This window comes from Homo sapiens, unplaced genomic scaffold, assembly GCF_000001405.40.
Source record: "Homo sapiens unplaced genomic scaffold, GRCh38.p14 Primary Assembly HSCHRUN_RANDOM_CTG9".
Taxonomy (NCBI): domain Eukaryota; kingdom Metazoa; phylum Chordata; class Mammalia; order Primates; family Hominidae; genus Homo; species Homo sapiens.
In genome coordinates this window covers 46590-67587 of record NT_113889.1, presented here as the reverse complement: position 1 = coordinate 67587, position 20998 = coordinate 46590, and the positions used below count along the sequence as shown (strand labels likewise).

Sequence of the window (20998 nt, the reverse complement as noted above, 5' to 3'; positions counted from 1 at the left end):
GGAATCCTATGTGAGGGACAAACTTTCAGACCAAAGCAGGAGTGTTCTTAAATCCTATATGAAGAACAAACATTCAGACCCCAGGAGCACTGTTCTGAAATCCTATGATAAGGGCAAACATTCAGACCCCAACATGAATGTTCTGGAATCCTATGTGAGGGACAAGCATTAAGACCATAGCAGGAGTATTCTGGAATCCTATGTGAGGGACAAACATTCAGACCCTCGTAGCAGTGTTCTGGAATCCTATGTGAGGGAGAAGCATTCAGAGCACAGCAGGAGTGCCCTGAAATCCTATGTTAGGGATAAACATTCAGAACCTCATAACATTGTTCAGGAAACCTATGTGAGGGACAGACATTTAGACCCTCGCAGCAGTGTTCTGGAATCCCATGTGAGGGTCAAACATTCAGATCCTCACAGCAGTGTTCTGGAATTCTATGTGAGTGACAAACTTCCAGACTCCAGCAGCAGTGTTCTGTATTCCTATGTGAAGGACAAACATTCAGAATTCAGGAGCAGTGTTTTGAAATCTTATGTTAAGGGCAAACATACAGACCCTAGCATCAATGTTCTAGAATCATATGTGAGGGACAGACATTCAGACCCTCGCAGCAGTGTTCTGGAATCCTAGTTGGGGGACAAACATTCAGACCCCAGCAGCAGGCTTCTGGAATCCTATGTGGGGGACAAACATTCAGACAATGGCAGCAGTGTTCTGGAATCCTATGTGAGGGACAAACACTCAGAGCCTTGTAGCAGTGTTCTGGAATCCTATGTGAGTGAGAGTGCCTGGAGCCTACCCAACCTGACGCCCCCAAAGCCCTCACAGGGTCTGACCTCCCAGCATGCACCTGCCTCTCCCTGAACCCCAACTGCCCACCCTGCCTGTTCCCTGGCCTCCTTCATCCTGTGCAGCCCATAGACTGTGACCATCTCTGCAGCCACTCTGGCCCTTCCTTTACCTTTGTCCTGTCAGAATCTCTGAGCAGGATCTCCCAGGTCCATCCAAACACGTGCTTTGTCCACTTTTGACTAGGCCCTTGGGCATCACTGGGCTATCCCAGCTGTCCACAGGGCCTTCAATAATGCACATTGCACCTGGCTTATCCAAGCAGTGCTCAGCAGCCCACATTGACCAGGTCCCTGCTGACCAGACCCCACACATCAGGTCCTCCCTGATGACACCCTCACTGATTAGACCCTCATGACCAGGCCCCACTCACAAGGCCCCCACTGCCGGGCACACAATGACAAGGACTCCACCGACCAGGACCTTACTGACATGGCCTCACGGACCAAGTCCTTACTAACAAGTCCTCACTGACTAGGTCATTATTGACAAGGCCTCACTGATCAGGTTCCACTGATCATGACCTCATTCCCTGGCCCCAGAGATGAGGCTCCACTGACCAGGCCTCCAGGGAACAGGTTGCCACTGATCAGGCCCCTAATAACCAGGCCTAAGATCACCAGATGCCCCTGACTGGGACCCTAGTGAGTAGACCCCACTGAACTGGCACCAAATGCTGAGATCCCCGCTGACCAGGTCACCCTGTAGATCAGTGCTACAAAAGTCACCACTGACCAAGTCCTCTCTGACCAGGACACTACAGATTAGGTCCCGCTGACAAGGCTGCCCTGACCAGGGCCCCACTGACAAGGGCCTCACTGATGAGGACACGCCCACCAGGGTCTGCTGACTAGGTCCCATGTGCCCAGTCCTCCACTGAATAGCACCCCTTGACCTGGTCACCAGTGCCCCAGCCCATGCTGACCAGGCCAGCACTAACCCCAGCTGACCAGGTCTCCACTGATCAAGCCCCACAGCCCAGGTTTGCACTGACCAGACACCAAACAACTGGCAGCCAATAGGTCGCCACTCACCAAAACCCCCACTACTAGACCCCACTAATGAGACCCTCTTTAAGCAGACGCCTGCTGACCACGATCCCACTAAATAGTCCTCACTGACCTAGGTCCACTGACCAGGCCCACACTGATCAGGCCCCTCCTAACCACACCGGAAATCCAAGCGGCAATGACATGTTTCATATGGCAAAAGTTGGAACAAGACAGAGAGACGAAAGAGGTTCCACAGCCTTTTAAACTACTAGATCTCATGAGAACTCACTATCAGGAGGATGGCATTAAGGGCTTGGTGCTTTGCCATTTGTGAAGGATCCACTCCCACACCTTTATGATTAAAGCTTTTTCCACCTAGGCCCCGACTCTAACATTAGGGAGTGTACTTTCACATGAGCTTTGGAAGGGGCATAGAGAAAAACCGTATTATTCTGTCCCTGACCCCACAAATCTCATGTCCTTCTCACATTGCAAAATACAGTCATGCCTTGCCAGCAGTCTCCCAAATTCTTAACTCATTTCAGCATTAACTCAAAGTTACAAAGTCCAAAGTCTCATCTGGGTCAAGGCTACATTCTCTTTTGCCTACGAGTCTCTGAAATAAAAAGCAAGTTCACTGTGTCTAAGGTACAATGATGGTACAGGCATTTTGTAAGCTTTCCATATCCAAAAGGGAGACATTTTCCAGAAACCTTCTTATTTTTATCTGAGGCCCCCTCAGCCTGGCCTTCACTGTCCATGTTTTTGTCAGCATTCTTGTCACTGCCATTTAACCAGTCTCTAAGATGGTCCAAAAATGTTCTCATCTGTCTGTCTTCTTTGGAGCCCTCCAAACTCTTCCAACCTCTACCCATTACCCAGTTCCGAAGTTGCTTCCACATTTTCAGGTATCTTTATAGCAATGCTCCAGTCCTCATTTGCCATTTTTGGTAAGATTTATTTTGAAAAAGAGGTTTAATTGGCTCATGGTTCTGCAGAGTGGACAGGAAGCTTAGTGCTTCTGCTTCTGGGGGGCCTCAGAAATCTTTCAATCATTGTGCAAGGTAATGAAAGAGTGAATTGTCTCATATGGCAAGAGGAAATCACGGAGAGTAGGGAGTGATATAGAGTTTTCAGTGGCCAGATCTCACGAGAATTCACTCATGATTGTGAGGAGAGTACCAAGGGGATAGTGCTGAACCACTCATGAGAAATTTGCCTTCATGATTCAATCACCTTATACCAGGATCCACCTCCAACATTAGGAAGCATAACTCAACATGAGATTTGGTGGGGACACATATTCGAATTGCCTCATCAGTCTTTGAGTATAAAGACATCCATAGCAGGCTTTATCCAGCCAGCTTCTTTGGGATTCTTTATAGGGTTTCAGGTCTATAGCATATCCACTAAAATATTCCTACTTCAAAAGGCAATAAAGTAAGTGGTATTACCATTCTTCAAAAAGTTATAATGGTAGTGTAGGCATTCATAGTATGATTTAGTTCATTTGCTACTGTTTCTATTCTATCACCATATTAACACTTTCGTACACAATTCTATATTCAGCTGGGTTTCAGTTGAGCACAAAGTCATCCTTGTACTACCACCGATAGCTGGCACTAGCTCTTTGATACTGTTATCATTCTGCTGTAGAAAGTACCCGTGAACTGGAAAAAGTCCACAATCGAATAGCTAGTCATTCAACACTATCAAATTTTAGGTGACTTTTTGAAAAAATAGTATCTCTTGTTGCAAGAAATGGTCCATCTGTGATTTCAAGTCTCTCGCTTGAGTGAATTGGATGGAAGTGGTGAATTTCAGCCAAAGTGGCCAAAGAAATCCTGTTCCTGTGATAATGACGCCATCAGCCTCTGCATCTCTGTCTTCCCTTCTGCCACATGTTGCCTGTTCTCCGTGACTTTGGTAAGAGCTTCCTTGTGTATGAGGATGATGTCCAGGATGTTGGTCTGGTGTCCCTGAGACAGCACTAACAGGTCCATGGCTGGGTCCAGGTCATTCCTGGACTCATTGTCAAAGAGCTTACTGATGTTCTTGAAGGCATCTCTGGTGAAGTGGATGGCCTAGTCAAGTTCCAAGGCCTGGCTGAAGCTGAAGAAAAACTGGCCACCTTCTGATGCTCTTTTTAAAAGCCTGTCACTGTCATCTGCTTGCTTGTCAACTCATTGGCTGTGAGGATGAGCTGAGTGGCCTGTGTCCATCTTCTTGGGGAAGCATTTGAAGCCATCAGTCTTGCTCTCCCACCCCTAAAGGTTGAGGGTCACCACCTGGGGTTGTGCTGAGGGTCAGAAAGAAGCCAGCACTCACTATCTCATCCTTCTCAGCCTTCCTCTTGCACTCTCTCCAGGCTGTCTCTTCAGTGTTGGTGGGATACGTCAGAAAGCGATGGAAGATGTGGCACTGTGCCCAGACCCAGAAGCTGGCCATGTGGTTGGCTTATCCACCAGAATGGATGCTCTGGGTGCTCTTTAAGCCAGCTTTGCCTAGCCTGGCATGCACAGGCCCCAGGTTCCGACATGTTGCTCTGAGTGAGCTTGTCCTGCCTTGGGCCAAATTCTGTCAGGCCAGGGCCACAAAAGGCCGAGTCCCACGGGTGGTAATCCTGGCTGCTTTCTGCACTTCCACATAAAGACCTCCTGAAGATGGCCTGTGGTCTACCTCTTTGCAACCAAGAAGCCCGCAGTGCCATATGAACCCTCAGGCATGGACTGGAGCCCCCGAGGAAGCACACACTCTGCTCCTGAGCCTGCTGCTCATTTTCTCTGTGTGGCTCCATTTGTGTCACAGTTGTTGCACAGACTTGTGCATGCCGGGCAAGGCCAAGCTGGCTCAAAAAGCAACCGGCCACCTCTGCAAGGTTGTGCCAGGAGCCGGTGGACCAGCCACCAACCTCACTTGCTGCCGGTCAGCTTACATCAGTTCTTCTACCCTAGAGGTAGGGCCCCAGTGCCATATGCTTTTCCTCAGGCCTCTGCTCTATCAGTCATCAGGCAGCAACCACTCAGGCTGTGGGAACCTGGCCATCCCTCCTTCCTTGAGTAGCTGAGGTTGCTGGCTTGTCTGCCTGCTACAGGTGCAGCCTTGCAGATGTGGCTAGTTGCTCTGAGCCAGCTTGGCCTTGCCTGGCATGCATAGGTCCCAGGTACTGACACTCTGCACCGAGTCAGCTTGTCCTGCCTTGGGTCAAATTCTAAGTCTGGCCAGGGCCACAGAAGGCCCAGTCCCCTGGGTGCTAATCTTGGCTGCTTTCTGCACTTGAACATAAAGTCCTCCTCAAGAAAGCCTGTGGTCTGCCTGTTGGCGACCAAGAAACCTACAGTGCCATACGAGCCCTGAGGCATGGACTGGAGCCACAAAGGCAGTGCACGCCCCGTTCCTGAGCCTGCTGATCATTTCCTCTATATGGCTCCATTTGTAGCACACTTGTTGCAGCGAGGCTTGTGTATGCCAGGCAAGGCCAAGCTGGCTCAAAGAGCAAGCAGCCACCTCTGCAAGGGTGTAACAGGAGCAGATGGACCAGCCGCCAACCTCACTCACTGCCAGACGTGGTACATCAGTTCTTCTATCCTAAAGGTGGGGCCAAGAGGCAGACCACAGGCCGTCTTGAGGAGGACTTTATGTTCAAGTGCAGAAAGCAGGCAGGATTACCACCCTGGGGACTCACCCTTCTGTGGCCCACAGTGCCATATGAGCCCTGAGGCATGGACTGGTGCCATCTTCTTTATACAAAAATTAACTTAAGATGGATTAAAGAGTTAAATATGCCACCTGCTTTTCCTCAGGTCTCTGCTCCATCAGCCATCAGGAGGCAGCCACTCAGGCTGTGGAAACCTGGCCATCCTGGCTTCTTTCAGTGGGTGAGGTTGGTGGCTGGTCCACCTGCTCCAGGCACACCCTTGCAGAGGTGGCTGCTTGCTCTTTGAGCCAGCTTGGCCTTGCCTCGCATGCCCAGGCCCCACCTACTGACACACTGCTCTGAGTGACCTTGTCCTGCCTTGGGCCAAATTCTGTCAGGCCAGGGCCACAGAAGACCGAGTCCCCTGGGTGGTAATCCTGGCTGCTTTCTGCACTTGTACATAAAGTCTTCCTCAAGACGGCCTGTGGTCTGCCTCTTGGCAACAAAGAAGCCTGCAGTGCCATAGGAGCCCTGAGGCATGCACTGGAGCCCCAAAGTCAGTGCACACCCTGCTCCTGAGCCTCCTTCTCCTTTCCTATATATGGCTCCATTTGTAGCACGGTTGTTGCACCGAGGCTTGTGCATGCCAGGCAAGGCCAAGCTGGCTCAAAGAGCAACCGGTCACCTCTGCAAGGGTGTGCCAGGAACAGGTGGGCCAATCACCAACCTCACATGCTGCCAGTCACAGTACATCAGTTCTTCTGCCCTAGAGTTAGGGCCCCAGTGCCATCTGCTTTTCCTCAGGACTCTGCTCCATCAGCCATCAGGTGGCAGCTACTCATGCTGTTGGAACCTGGCCATCTGGGCTTCCTTGAGTGGGTGAGGTTGCTGGCTTGTCCACCTGCTTAAAGGTACTATGGGGATAGAACACAAATAATAATAATGCATTTTTCAAACAAATTAATTCCTTGATTTTCAAACAAATTGAAGACAAAGGAAACTCATGATTCAAATGAATACATATGGCTCATTTTATTCAATATTTATGCTTACAGAATATATGTAAATAAGACATTCCCATGATTAATATTAGTATTTAAGACTGATAACCTTTTGGGTGGGCAGTTAAAGCTTATCTTCTACTATTTTCTAACTTCAGAAATGCTTTTGTTTGAAAGTTGGGTGACAAAGTTTCAAGGAGATTAAGTCCCAATATTCCTATTTTAAATCTCTCAGCTTGTGCAGCAGGGCAGGTAAACATGAAGTTTTTAAGGATAGAAGGGACCTGAGAGATAGCAGAATATGTCTGCTACATAACAGGTACTCAGGTTATGTTTGATGAATAAATGGAATGAAAGAATGGAAAAATACAGTTGGGGAGTTCAATATTTTTAAATAAACTCCTATAAAGCAATATTTTTGCAATAGTAATATTTATATGTTATTTTTATTTAAGAATACAATTAAAATGAAATGATTAATCTATCATTGTTTGCATAAATTGAATGAATACATAAGAAAAACATATGTACATAATAAAATATATAGATAATGAAATCTGGAAACATAAAAATATTCCCTTTTTACTTCTGAAGAGGCTAAAAGTTCAAAGAAGATAACAATACACTCAATAATGATAAAAAATAGAAAGTGAGAAATTATTTTTAATATTGTAAGATTCATATTCCTGTCTTCCCAAGGATTATTTATTTATTAATAAACTTTACTAGAAGTTTTGTACATGCTCACTGCAGCAATCACAGATAAGAAAAAGGAAAAGAACTTTACTTAAAATACAAATGCTCAGAAATTACAAATTTTATATTTTGTACATATTTTTTGATAAAACAAGACCATAGTATGTTTGTATGTATAACTTAATTGATTTTTTTCTCACTAGCTATAACAAAATACATCTTCGCACATCAATATACTTCTGTATCTATTGCCACCTTCAATGGTCACATATTATTCCATCCTGTGGATGCAACTGAAGTTTATTTATAGGATCCACTCTTTGGGTTCTTTTTAAAATAAGTGAGGTGAAAAATAAAGTGCATGTATCTTTATTTCCTAAGGGTGTTTTAGTATAATGGAATTGATGGGTAAAGGGCATACATATTTTTTAATTGTAGTACTTACCACCAAATTATCTATTTGAAAAGTAATCAGCAACTTAAACTTTAAGCAGGAGTATAAAACATCCTCACAAATATTGTGGATAGAAAACTGTTTCATTCCTCTTTTAATTTAAATTCTTATGCCAGAAATGCGAAGGACTTTTTCCTATGTACACAAGTAACTTGCAGATCTGGAGAAGTGTACTTTGCCCAATTTTAGAGTGTTTGATGATTTGATTTGAAAGAATTCCCTGTCAAATGAAAATGTACTTTTCATCTAATGTGTATATATAACTGATATATATGACATATTATATCTGGTATATATGTATACGTATCAGTAATATATATATATATATATATATATATATATATATATATATATAACTTATGATATATAATAAACAACATAGGCTGGGCACGGTGGCTCACACCTTTAATCCCAGCACTTTGGGAGGCGGAGGCGGGCAGATCACTTGAGGTCAGGAGTTCGAGACCAGTCTGGCCAACGTGGTGAAACCCCGTCTACTAAATATACAAAAATTAGCCAGGCACGCTGGCACCTGCCTATAATCCAAGCTACTTGGAAGGCTGAGGTAGGAGAATTGCTTGAACCCAGCAGGCAGAGGTTGCAGTGAGCCAAGATTGTGCCATTGGACACCAGCCTGGGCAAAGAAGCGAGACTCCAACTCAAAAAAAAAAAAGAATATAATGAATTCCCTATAAAATGAAAACATACTTTTCATCTGAAAATACATATATATATATATAATATAGTAAATATTTTTCAAGTAAGCTCTCTTATCTGAGAACTTTTTGCCTACTGAAATAACTCACGGTATTTTTGATAGGGGAAAGAGTTCTCTCATTAGGCACCTCCTATAATGTATATAAACCATGTTTTCAACGTGTACTTTAAAAATAACAACACTGTGTTTGCTTAACTTTGTGAGTTAAATCACTCAAATTCTCCAACTGCTCCAGCCATGGAATTATGAGGGATGGAAAACAGCTGAGAGTCCGTTTGGCTCCGCTGCTCTGAGGGTGCCCAGAGCCCTGAAAGGCCCCGTCCCAGGGGCAGTGGGGAAGCCGGGCCTGGGGACCCCCTCCCACCCCGGGCTGAGTCCCCGCTACCTGTGCTGCTTGTCCAGGGCATCCAGGTCTCCGCTCCTGCGCGCCAGGCAGCGCTCCACCCCCACGGCGTCGCCCTTGACAGCTGCCCTGTGGATCTTCTGCAGTTCGGAGTCCCGGATTCGGTATCCGGAACCCGTGTAGACATGTTCTATGGAGCCGTGGGCCGTCTGGCCCCTGCGGCTCCCGAAGCCGAATAACTTCATAGTGGTGACTTCTCAGAAACCCCAACCTCCGGCTCTTGAGCGGGGGCAGCTCCCTGTCACCTTTTCACCACCCCCCTCCCCCGACCCCGGCCGACCTCCCTGTCACCTTTTCACCCACCTCCTCTGCCGACCCCGGCCGACCCAGCCCCAAATCCCCTATCCAACCCCAAGTCCCTGATCCAACCCTCAATCCGCGATCAACCCCCAATGCGCGATCCCAAATCTGTGATCTACTCCACAGTCCGCGATCCAGCCCTGTCCACCACAGCCTTCAGCAGCGACACTCGCAGCCTCCGACCTCTCAGACCGAGTGAGCCTCGCAAAGCCGTTGGGCGCGCGCCTGCACCGCAGTTGCTGCCTGGCTCCCGGAAGCCCTTCCCTGGTGGCGCGCGCCGGCAGGTGGGGCTGCAGCTCTGGGCTGGCGCCGATGAGCTCGCAGGTCCTCTTGGGATCGCCCGGGCGGCCCCAGGATCGCAGGAGCGCCGCCAGCCTGGCCTGAGAAGGAGGGCCTGTCTGGCCTTGCAGCCCGCCCCGCTCCTCCTCGGAAGGGAGATAGGGTGCTGGCAAGGGCACTCCGCTGCCACCTGGGTGGCTTCGCAGATGGCCTGGCTTCACGCTGAGGCTCTGGCCCTGGAGTCTGTGTGGCTAGTGTCAGGTAGCTGTAGAGGCATGGAGGCAGAGTCAGGGGCTGCTCTTTCACCCACCAGCCCTCACTGCTGCCAGTGCCCCACGCACAGTTTGCAGCTGCAGATCTGGCACTGGCGTGGGACGGCGGAGCTTCCCTTGGATGGCCTCAGGGTCGCAGAGCGCACAGCCCACCTGGCCTCAAGTTCCGCTCTTCTTGGGCATCTCTCTGGATCCTGGGCCCGGGCGCTGGGCACTCTGTATCCACATGGATGAAACTGAGCGGCTGCTGGCGGGGCCCGTCGCCTGATTTTGCCGCCTGGGGGTCTGGCCTCAGGATCCACGCTACTGGGGGGCGGGCCTGGTCTGGGGTGTCCAGTCACTTACTGCCGGTGCACCACGTCTAGACTGCAGCTGCGGCTCCGATGTCGGCGTCAGCTGGCGGGCCTGGTACCTGATGTCCTCAGGGTCAAGTGCATCGCCCGCCCACTTGAGGGGTTGCTGTGACTTGGCCTCCTCCAAGAACTCAGGGGCCACCAGGGCTGGCTCTTTGTGGTAACCGGGATGGTATTGAGCAGCAGGTTTTCACCCTGGTGCCACTGCTGTGCGGACTGCCTGACTTGGGCGCCCAGGCACTGGCCTCAGGGTCCACGTGGCAGGTGTGTGTGCGGGTAGGGTGAGTGGCACGGAGGGTCAGGGGTTGCTCCGTCATCTCTGCCTGTGTGCAACTTGCAGTTTTGCAGTTTTCTGCAGCAGCTGAGGCGCTGGCGTGGGAAGGCGGAGCTCCCCTGGATGGCGTCAGGTTTGCAGGCACAGAGCACAGCCCAGGCCTGAGGGTCCGCTCAGGGGCCATGATGGCTGAGTTCTCCGTGGAAACTGGGATGGGGTGAACGGCCAGTTCCCGTCCTTTGGCCGCCTGGCCAACTACCAGACTTAGCCGCTGCCGCCCAGGCATCTGTCTCTGGGGTTGCCGCTACTTGGGTAGAAGTGGGGGTCGGGGTGGGGCATGGAGTGTCACCGGTTGCCAGGCCAGCACTGTCTTTGCAACATATTCAGATGGATGGCGGCGGGCAGCTCGGGCACCAGCATGGGCTGGCGGGGCTCCCCTGGAAGGCCCTCAGATCGCTCACAGCATTGTCCCAGGGCTTCCTCGGCCTGTGCCAGGTGAGCAAGGTAGGGGGGAGCTTCCAAGGCTTCTATCCCAACTCTACTTATTTCTAGCTATTTTCTCTTGAGTTATTTTGCGTCTATCTCAGTTTTATTTGCAAAAATAGTATATGCAAAATACATCTAGTGAATGTACATCAGGCATATAGAAGATCTGACAGAAACACGTTTTCTCATGCCCATTTCCATTCAGTATTTGAACACAGAGGCTTCCATCGTTTTGATTCTTTCCACAAAAGGATAGTTTTGTCTGTTTTCACCATTTACATAAGTGAAACTATAAATTATATAATTTTATGTTCATTCACTAAACATGCTTGTGACATCATTTTGCTCCTATTGATTATTCATTAATTTTATTTTGTAATACTCAATTTTATGACTATACCACAGGTTTGAGGCCTTTGCTTGTTTTGTTTATAATCCACTCCACTATTGATAGACACAAAAGCAGTTTCTAATTTGAGGCTATCATGAATAAACCTGCTACAAACAAATCAGATATACACATTTTTCTGTAATAATATTTTCACTTTTCTTGAGTTTAAGTACATAAGAGTGGATTCTCTGGGTTATAAAATAAGTATATATTTGGCATTGTATGAAATAGGGAGACATTTTCCTAAGTGGTTGTGCCATCTTAAACTACAATGAAAATGTTTGAGAGAATCAGTTCCACTTTCTAACCAATACTTGATGCTGTCAGTTGTTTTAGTGTTATCCATTCTTATGGGATATAACTGCTGAGTAGCTGTCTGCCTTCCCAATAACACAGAAAATTGAGGGCCCAGAGGACAGTTTTATTTTCATATTTGACATCTTCTATTATTTTTTATAGAAGGGTGATTTGGGTAGTAAAATTGTCTTTCAATTTTCTAGGTTGTCTCTGAATCTTACTGGGGCTCCTTGTCCTAAACCACATTCAGAAATTTTCATGACCAACTTCTTTTTATCTTTGTCATACCAGGCCAATGAGGTACTGCATTCCTGAGACTTTTTCAGTACTTTTTGTGTGTATGATTGTCTAATAATCATAGCCTTAAAACTTTCTGGCTGGGCATGGTGGCTCATGGCTGTAATCCCAGCACTTCGAGAGGCCAAGGCGGGTGGATCACCTGAGGTCAGGAGTTCAAGACCAGCCTGATCAACGTGGAGAAACCCCAACTCTACTAAAAATAAAAAATTAGCTGCACATGGTGGCACATGCCTGTAATCCCAGCTACTTGGGAGGCAGGAGCTACTTAGGCTGAGGCAGAAGAATCACTTGAACCCAGGAAGGGTTGTAGTTAGCCGAGATCACACCATTGCACTCCAGCCTGGGCAACAAGAGTGAAATTCCTTCTCAAAAAAGAAAGAAAGAAAGAAAGAAAGAATCTCAGGCTTCTGGGAGACACTGAATTTGTGAATGTGTACAGCATGTCACAATAACTTTTTTTTTTTGAGACCAAGTCTCACTCTGCTGCCCAAGCTGGAGTGCAGTGGTCCATCTCAGCTCACTGCAAATTCTGTCTCCTGGATTCAAGCAATTCTCCTGTCTTGGCCTCCCGAGTAGCTGGGATTACAGGTGCTGCAACCATGCCTGGCTAATTTTTGTATTTTTAGTAGAGACAGAGTTTCACATATTGGCCAGGCTGGTCTCAAACTCTTCACCTCAGATGATCCACCTGCCTCAGCCAATGGGTGGACTGTTAACTCAAAATACGCACATTGAATACTGAGGAAAATGTATAGCCATCATCACCAGCAGCTGAGATGCCAGTTGAGATACCAGAAATGCCCCAGCATGTAACTCCTCTTTTAATTCACACACACACACACAAACACACACACACACACACACACACACACACACACACACACACTCATGGTAACCAGTTCAGGATGGACAAAGAAACAGTCACAGTCTTTTTTGGGAACACACTCCCCTGTGACACTTAGATCCTAATGCTGACTCCAATTCCCTCCTGGGACCTCCCCTCTCCTTGCGGCATGCTGGGCTTTCCCTTAGAAAACCCCATGTCATTTCCTTCAATGGAACATGAATCAGCTTCACCCACAGTGTCTGCATGTCTCTGTCCATAGCAAACGTTTTTATTACCTTAAAATATAGATCTTTACCTTAACTAGCCAAGACCTAGGACCCTTTTTCCAAGCTCTTTTAGATGAAGTAATAAATGCAAATATTAGAGATGTGTATATGTGTATAAATATATGGAGAAAAGATGTTGCCTAGTTGTACAAATTAGCTTTAATACAACTCCTGATTTAAATTATTTAATTGTGAGAAGGGCGATTCTAACTCAACACACCAACGAAATAAAAGCCTTATCCCTCTGCTCCGCCAAAATATCCCATTTAGAGCCTGCGTGTGTGTGTACACACACGTGTGCACTCATCCCCACCTGACCGTATCAAATTATTATTTAAACTAGATATTTTTACTTTGTTGCATAGTAGTAATGGTTTCTGGAATGAAAAAATAAAAAACAGGAGAATAAAACTGTTTAAATGTATCTCCGGGTGAACGCTGTGGCCACTGCACGGACCCCGTCGATGGCGCCCAGTACCTGCGTCTCAGGAAGAGGTTCTGGCGGGGCCTCCGCCTGAGGCCGCGCCCCTGGGACCTGTCCCGCGTCCACGTGAATGCGGAGCGCAGCATTCACCATCCCCTCCCTGAAACAGCGGTCCCCGAGGTGCTCCACAGGCAGGGCCGAGCTGGGCAAGGGGGAGCCCAGCCCCTGCACGGGCCGCCCTGAGCAGCGGGGACGCAGGAAGAGCTCGCTGGCTCCACCAGCCCCTACCCCAGATGCGGGACCTCAGACCAGCAAGGACCTGGAGCCCCCACCCCACGGTTGCCAGGAGGCGGACAGGGGCGGCTCCTGGGGGGCTACCACCTCGAGGCCGTTCCGCCAGAACTTGAGCGACTTGGGAAGGCACAGTGTCCTGCCCTTGAAGAGGAACCTGTGTCCTGGAGGCAGCAGCCTGGGAGCTCCTCCTCTGAGGACACCGCAGAGGCGAGTGACTCTGGCGGCGCAGCGCTGGCTTTCCCGTCCGCAGAGGAGAGCTGTGGGGCTGGGTGAGCTGGACCAGGGAGCACAGCTGGCTGCTCTCGGCCTCCGATGGGGAGTGGACAGCTTAGGGGGTTGCCCCCGTGCCAGCCAGCCTGCTGGCCACTCTGGGCTTCATCACACCCTCACCTGCCTGCGCAGGCACCTAGCACTGCAGGCTGGAGCTTCTGGCCATGCTGGTCAACTTCCCCAACGAGCCTCTGCTGCCTGGGAACAGCAAGGCCAGAGCTACACCGCCCTGCACTTGGCAGCCATGTACCTTGGAGATGGTGAAGCTGCTAGTGGGAACATAGGACGCCGATGTTGACATCAGGGACTACACTGGGAAAAGGGCCTCCCAGCATGTGAGTCAGAGCATCACAGAAGAGATTGAGACCCTGATGGGAGTCCTGGACAAGGACGATGGGGAGAGCACCGCCAGCAGCGGGGGTGAGTACTGGAAGATTTAAAAGCTGCCCCCTCCATCTCACCACCTACAAACTCTCACACGTCCTGGAAGATGGGGGGACCCTCTCCACCATCACCACTTGGCTGAAGGTGGTCCAGACGTGAAGCCAAGGATTCCAAGGCGCACAGCCTCGGGCAGGACTAATGGACTTAAAAAACACAGGCTCAACAAAATCCACTTCACAACCCAGATGGTTCATATCACACCCTCTTTCAAGGACCCAGAGCAGCCACTGGAAGAGAAGGAGTAGGAACGCTCTCTTAAAGTCCACTTATCCTATTCCTTCAAATTAAGACCAAAGTCCAATGTATTTAGGTAAAAAATAATTTCTTTTAGAAAATGCTAAGGTTTGTCTTCTGAAATTTAATAACAGAAACAAAAAAAGAACACTAGATGTAATGAAGTGAGACCAGAAAAGACAAACTAAACTATCCTTACTAGGTTGGAATGGATGGGGTGGAGTTCCTATCAGGCTAGCATTCTGGGGAAAGCTGTATTTTTTTTTTTTGGCGGTGGGGGGAAGGTGTCTCACTCTGTCGCCCAGGCTGGAATGCAGTGGCGCCATCTCCGCTCACTGCAAGCTCAGCCCCTCGGGTTTATGCCATTCTCCAGCCCCAGCCTCCCAGTAGCTGGGACTACAGGCGTCCGCCACCACACACGGCTAATTTTTTTGTATTTTTAGTTGAGACGGTGTTTCACCGTGTTCTCCAGGATGGTCTCGATTCCTGAATTCGTGATCCGCCCGCCTCTGCCTCCCAAAGTGCTGGGATTACAGGCGTGAGCCACTGCGCCTGGCCGGATTTCTTTTTAAGAGATTCATCATACCTTGACCTGTGCCCCATTTCCCTCCTCCACCTGTCTGACCTGGCATTCCTATTTCGGGAGACCAGAAGTGGGGGGAAGAGAAGGGATGACTGTTTCTTTGCTTTCACCATTCCTGCATGCCATGCAAAGGAAGGAATATTGCGCTTTTAAATATCCGTTTTATTAAGTAAGTGGTTACTCTTTCAAAGACAAAAAAAATGCAAATTGTTACAAAACTGGCAGTATTTGTAAGTGCAAGCACTACACGCTGCCTTGTTCTTTTACCAATTGCATTTGCATTTTAAGGTACTACTTGTACAGCCATGGTGGAGAACAGTTTGGAGGTTCCTCTAAACACTGAAAATAGAGGTGCCACATGATCCAGCAATCCCACTGTTGGATATATACCCCAGAAATAAGAAATGAGTATATCGAAGAAATTATCTGCACTCCCATGTTGGTTGCACCACTGTTGACAATAGCTAAGATTTGGAAGCAACCTAAGTGTCCATCAACAGATTAATGTATTAAAGAAAATGTGGTAGATACACACAGTGGAGTATTATTCAGCCCTAAAAAAGAATGAGATTCAGTCATTTGCAACAACATGGAAGGAACTGGATATCATTATGTTAAGGGAAATAAGCCAAGCACGGAAAGGCAGACATTGCATGTTCTCACTTATTTGTGGGATCTAAAAATCAAAACAATTGAACTCATGGACATAGTAAGTACTAGGGGGCTGGGGGGGGAGACAGGGCACGGGTAATGGGTACAAAAATAGGCAGAAGGAATGAATAAGACATACTATTTGATAGCACAACAGGGGGACTCTAGTCAATAATTGTACATTTAAAAATAACTAAAAGAATCTAATTGGATTGTAACACAAAGGAAACATGCTTAAAGGGATGGATACCCACTCTCCATGATGTGATTAGTTCATGCTGCATGCCTGTATCAAAACATCTCATGCACCCCATAAATATATATGCTTATTATATACTCACAAAAATGCTTGAAAATAAAAATAAAGGAACTACTGAAGGTCAGGTCAGAGTGGAAATGTAAAAATACTAATTAGAGAATAATGTGAATACAACAGGAATCCTGTTGGTATTCTATTTATATTGTAAGCAGCAGTTCAATTGTTTTGAAAAAGTAATTTCAATTTTAATCACTGAACTAAAGAAATGGGCAAGGCTGACTTCCGTAATATAGGTTCTACCTAACCATCTCTAACACCGCTGTCAAGGAGGACCAGTGTTAAGGTACATTACTAACAACCACACAAATTTTTAAAAGAAAAGAACACTCTTAGCAGCCTATGGTACTTTGAAATGAAATATTGCCTCTCATTCTCACTTGTGTTGCCATTCCAAAAGTATGAATTTGCTGAGGTTTATATTCTGGGTATTATATAACCATTGGTTCTGTTTGGCATAACCCTATTAAATGGTGCGCAGAGCTGAATTACCTACAGAAACTTTCTGGTTTAATTAGCATAAATTGGTATAAATATTAGTGAGCCCATACTTCTGTGATATAATTAAACCAACTTAATGATTCTCACATAAGGTGTCAATTTATTTTACTAATGCATTCATAATCTATGCTTTGTAGCAACATTTTTCAAATGTTTAAAATGCTAAATCTTCTCAATTTTCCAATCTTTTCTTGAATCTATTAGATACCTATAGTGTAGTTACTGAATAGCTGGGAAACAAATACACCTAGTTAGAAATGGCACTGCTTTATAAAAGGCACTAGAGAAAAGACGAGACTATTCCTATATTTAAATGCTGCTGGCAAGTGAATTCCTTGTATATAAATGAAAGATACCATTCATTAAAATGAAAGACTTGTTTTAAGTGTGATTCTTACATTTCATTCATTTATGATAGAGTAAATGGCTTTATAATTACTTTAAAATTTAACTCACTAGTACATTAAATCTGTTCATTGCAAGATTAGAATCAACTGTGAGGGGAACTAATTTAAACAAGCCCTTCCTTAGTCTTATTGAGTCTCATATTTGCTGAAAGTACCTACAGCTTGCAGGATAAGGGAGTTCACGGACCATAGGGTGAGTGAACCCATGCACAAATTGCAAACTGCCCAGAGCTACTACATTTAGGATTTTTAGACCTTTAATTTTCCAAGTCATAGAAATGTGTTACAGGTTCATCACATCTTTGTCTACATGGCAACTGAATTTCTTTAAAGATAGGTTAAAAAAAGGCATAAAACTATGAATTATTATCCATTTGTGTGCCTCTATTTTTGCTTTAGAATTATGGAAATGGACCCTGTGAATTTGGGAAACACTGTTATGTATACACATGGGTGAAAAACAATCTAACATTGTGTAAATTAAAATACTTTTTTTGAAGTTGAAAAACATCCATTTGTTCTAAATCTATATATATTACGAGTATCTAGTACAGAATAAGGTGTAACTTCTCATTGAGTAATCTTAGGTTTTACAGATATGTAAAGCTGAAGCAACTCTAAAGAGTAGACACTTCAGAACAGGAAGGTTCTGGTCAATGTTGAGAGTAGACACTTTCACTGAAGGTTCTGGTGAAATGTGGGTAACTAATTGCTTGAAATCTATAATTTGCTATATAGTTAACTATTAAGTTAAAATGTCATTTACCATGCCTTTTACACTAAAAGCTTTAACTTTTCTGAGAAAATAATATTTTAAATGTTCAATTATTTCTTCTGAGGAAAGCTACTTCTAGCATTCTTTGTCATGATGTGCTTGTGTGCAGTAAGCAGAGCATTTTCAGCCACTTACCTCTACAATGTTCCTGTTTTTCAATTTCTGATTTAGATTATAAAAGGCAAATGATTAATTTAATTTGATACTCAGAGTTGTGTTTACTTTTAATGGACAAATATATGTCAGATACTTTGATGTTTATTGATATGACACCGTGTGTTTAAACAACGCAAGTATGTCCATGTGTTTCTTATAGGGTACACTTGAAACTAGTGATGTTTATGCAGTTCACTTATGTAACTTGAAAATCTGGTACTATTGCATTCAGGACTGAAATCTTGGAGTTTAGGTGTCTTGTCTCTCATTTTGAAAATAAGTGAAAGTTGAGAATGTAAAATCTATAAAGTTCATTATTTTAACTAGGAAAAAAACACAAATTAATGACAGACACCAAATTACAAATCCAAAAAGCTCAGAGAACACCAAGCAGAATGAATATTTTAAAAACATACCTAGGAATATCATATTCAAACCGTAGAAAACCTGTAACAAAGATAAAATATTAAAATAAGGCAGAGGAAGAAACACATTGTCTACAGAGAAACAGACATAAGAATTACATTGGACTTCTGTTTAGAATCCATGCAAGTAAGAAGTGTTGAAAAAATTAGAATACAGTGGGTATTTTTTATCCAAGTATTCATTATTTAAAACTGCAAAGTGAAAATAATTGTAACAAGAACATATTCACTAGCAATCTGAGCACTCATGATATTAGTGTCTGTTCTGGAGAGAATTATGTCCCCCCAGAATTCCTAACCTGAAGCCCTATCTCCCAGTGTGACTGTATTTGGAGAAGGAGCTTTTAAGAAGTTAAAGGTTAAATAGGGGCAAAAGGGTAAGGCCGTAATCTGTTAGGACTGGGGTCATCATCCAAAAAGGAAGAGTCACCAGAGATACATATCTCTCTCTTCTCTCTCTCTCTGCCTCCCTCCTTCTCTCTCTCTCTCCTTCTCTCCCTCTCCCCACATACATTTGTTAAATTGAGGTTTTTTGTTAGAACATATATAGTGGCATTTTAATATAGTATTACTCTACTTAAAACATACACACACACACACACACACACACACACACACAATTTTGATAAATTCTTTTTTGAGGATAAGGCCGGACATGGTGGCTCACACCTGTAATCCCAGCACTTGGCGGGATTATCATATGAGGTGGGTGGATCATCTGAGGTCAGAGGTTCAAGACCAGCCTGGCCAACATGGTGAAACCCGTCTCTATTAAAAATACAAAAAATTAGCTGGGCGTGGTGGCGGGCACCTGTAATTCCATTTACTCAGAATGCTGAAGCAGAAGAGTCCCTTGAACCCAGGAGGCGGAGGTTGTGGTGAGCCGAGATTGCACCATTGCACTCCAGCCTGGGCAGCAAGAGCAAAACTCCGTCTCAAGAAAAATACAATAAAATAAAAATAAAAAAACACAAAACTGGGATGTGTCCCTGTCTTTTAGGCAGATATACTTTACCATTACTAAAATTGAGCTTCAGAAACATTAAGCATGCTACACAAACTTAGCTGGAAATGAATACTGAAATGGAAGTTTGAATCCAAGATGATTTCTTTTGAATCCCATGCTAATGCTGTTAACTCCTATAGACCCTTCTCAGGTGCAGCCAGAGAGACACTAGCCCACTGATGGACGGACAGACGTGGGCAGGGTCCGTGTCACTAAACCACCCACCACTGCCACAGCTGCCTACAACAGACACATCAGATGACACTCCGGGCAAATAAATGATTTTCACTGAGGACTTACTGGTTTTAATAATAGGTCCTGGTGTAGAGAAGTCCCTCAACCTATTGTGCAATGAGTTTTGAGAAGCGGGTAAGCTGTATGTTTTGTGGTTTTGTTTCATAAATTCATCTACAGGAAGACCAATATTGACTGAATGAAGCTTTCATTTAAAGAGCTAAAATATGCTTTGTGTTTTTATATGTGGATACTACTTTAAACCTAACGACTATTCATTGTATCATAGCTTGTGATGTATTCTGCTCATGGCTTTTAAGGTAAATTGTGCCATGATCCACTGCCATTCTAATTGCTTTAACAAGTCATTACCACACTACTGTTACATCTTAATTATGCATACAGACAGGTAGACTTGTTTTACATATGTGAACTAACTAGTTGTCAAAGCAAATGCAGATTGTATTCTGCAAGTAAAGTCTTTTTCTCTCTGAAATTTCTAGGGATGTTCTTTAAGTGAAATTCATATTAAAACTGAAGATTTTAGTTACAAGAACTGAGTGCAGATTAAAGTCTTTTGTGATTCAAACATAGTCAAGAGTACAACTGTGATATTTCATGGAAGTTATGCAATAAAATGTCTCTAACCTGCGAACAAATCTATCAAGCAGACGGCACAGTACTGAATTTGAAACCAGAAATACTGGGTTTTTATATAAATGCTTCATAGATTTGTTTTATGATAAAGGGCACATAACTCTCCTAAACCTCACACCACCTCTTGAATAGGTATAATAAGTCCACATCAATGCTGATGCCTTAGCTATTATTAAACTCTTACAGTATGATGTAAAGTGAAAGTACAATGTAAGATCATTCCTAGGCCAACTTTGACCAGTTTTATACAGAAACATGTGCCAACTTTTCTGTTTGCAAGGATAATATCAAAGCAAACACCAGAAAGTTATATCTTTGATGCATTTTTTCAAAATCATACACATAATACACAAACCAAAGACAAATGATGAATATTACGTCAGAAAATATAAAGTCTTCCCCTTTCTTCTTTTGCCAAGAAAGTCCAATATTTTCACCATTTTTATGCACACAATCAACTTTATTTAAGCTGGAAGTTAATGTCTCATTGTTTTCATTGTTCTAAATAAACACCTTTTCCCTTGAGTATTGCTCTAAAAATTTTGAAGTTGTGTGAAAAATTTTGTTCTGATATTTCACATTTGTGCTAATGATATGTGAAAAGGAATACAGATGGTATTTAATTATGAACAGGAAAAGATGTTAAATATCATTAGTCATTAGAAATTTGCAAATTAAGACCACAATGACTAACACATATATATCAGAATAGCTAAAATAAAAATAAAACATCAAACTCTGGGGAGCATGAGTAAAAACTGGAGCTTTCACACATGACTGGTGGGAATGTAAAATCGTACAG

At 44.8% G+C, this 20998-nt stretch overlaps 2 pseudogenes across 3 annotated transcripts in view; both read left to right on the top strand.

The window, feature by feature from the left end:
• Window positions 1-20998, top strand: part of LOC100233156 (tektin 4 pseudogene) — a 58668-nt pseudogene that overhangs the window by 29870 nt on the left and 7800 nt on the right. The gene's annotated exons all lie outside the window — the stretch shown is intronic.
• LOC389834 (ankyrin repeat domain 57 pseudogene) lies at window positions 12539-20743 on the top strand (annotated as a pseudogene). Its single transcript, NR_027420.1, has one exon. The product of NR_027420.1 is annotated as an ankyrin repeat domain 57 pseudogene (transcript).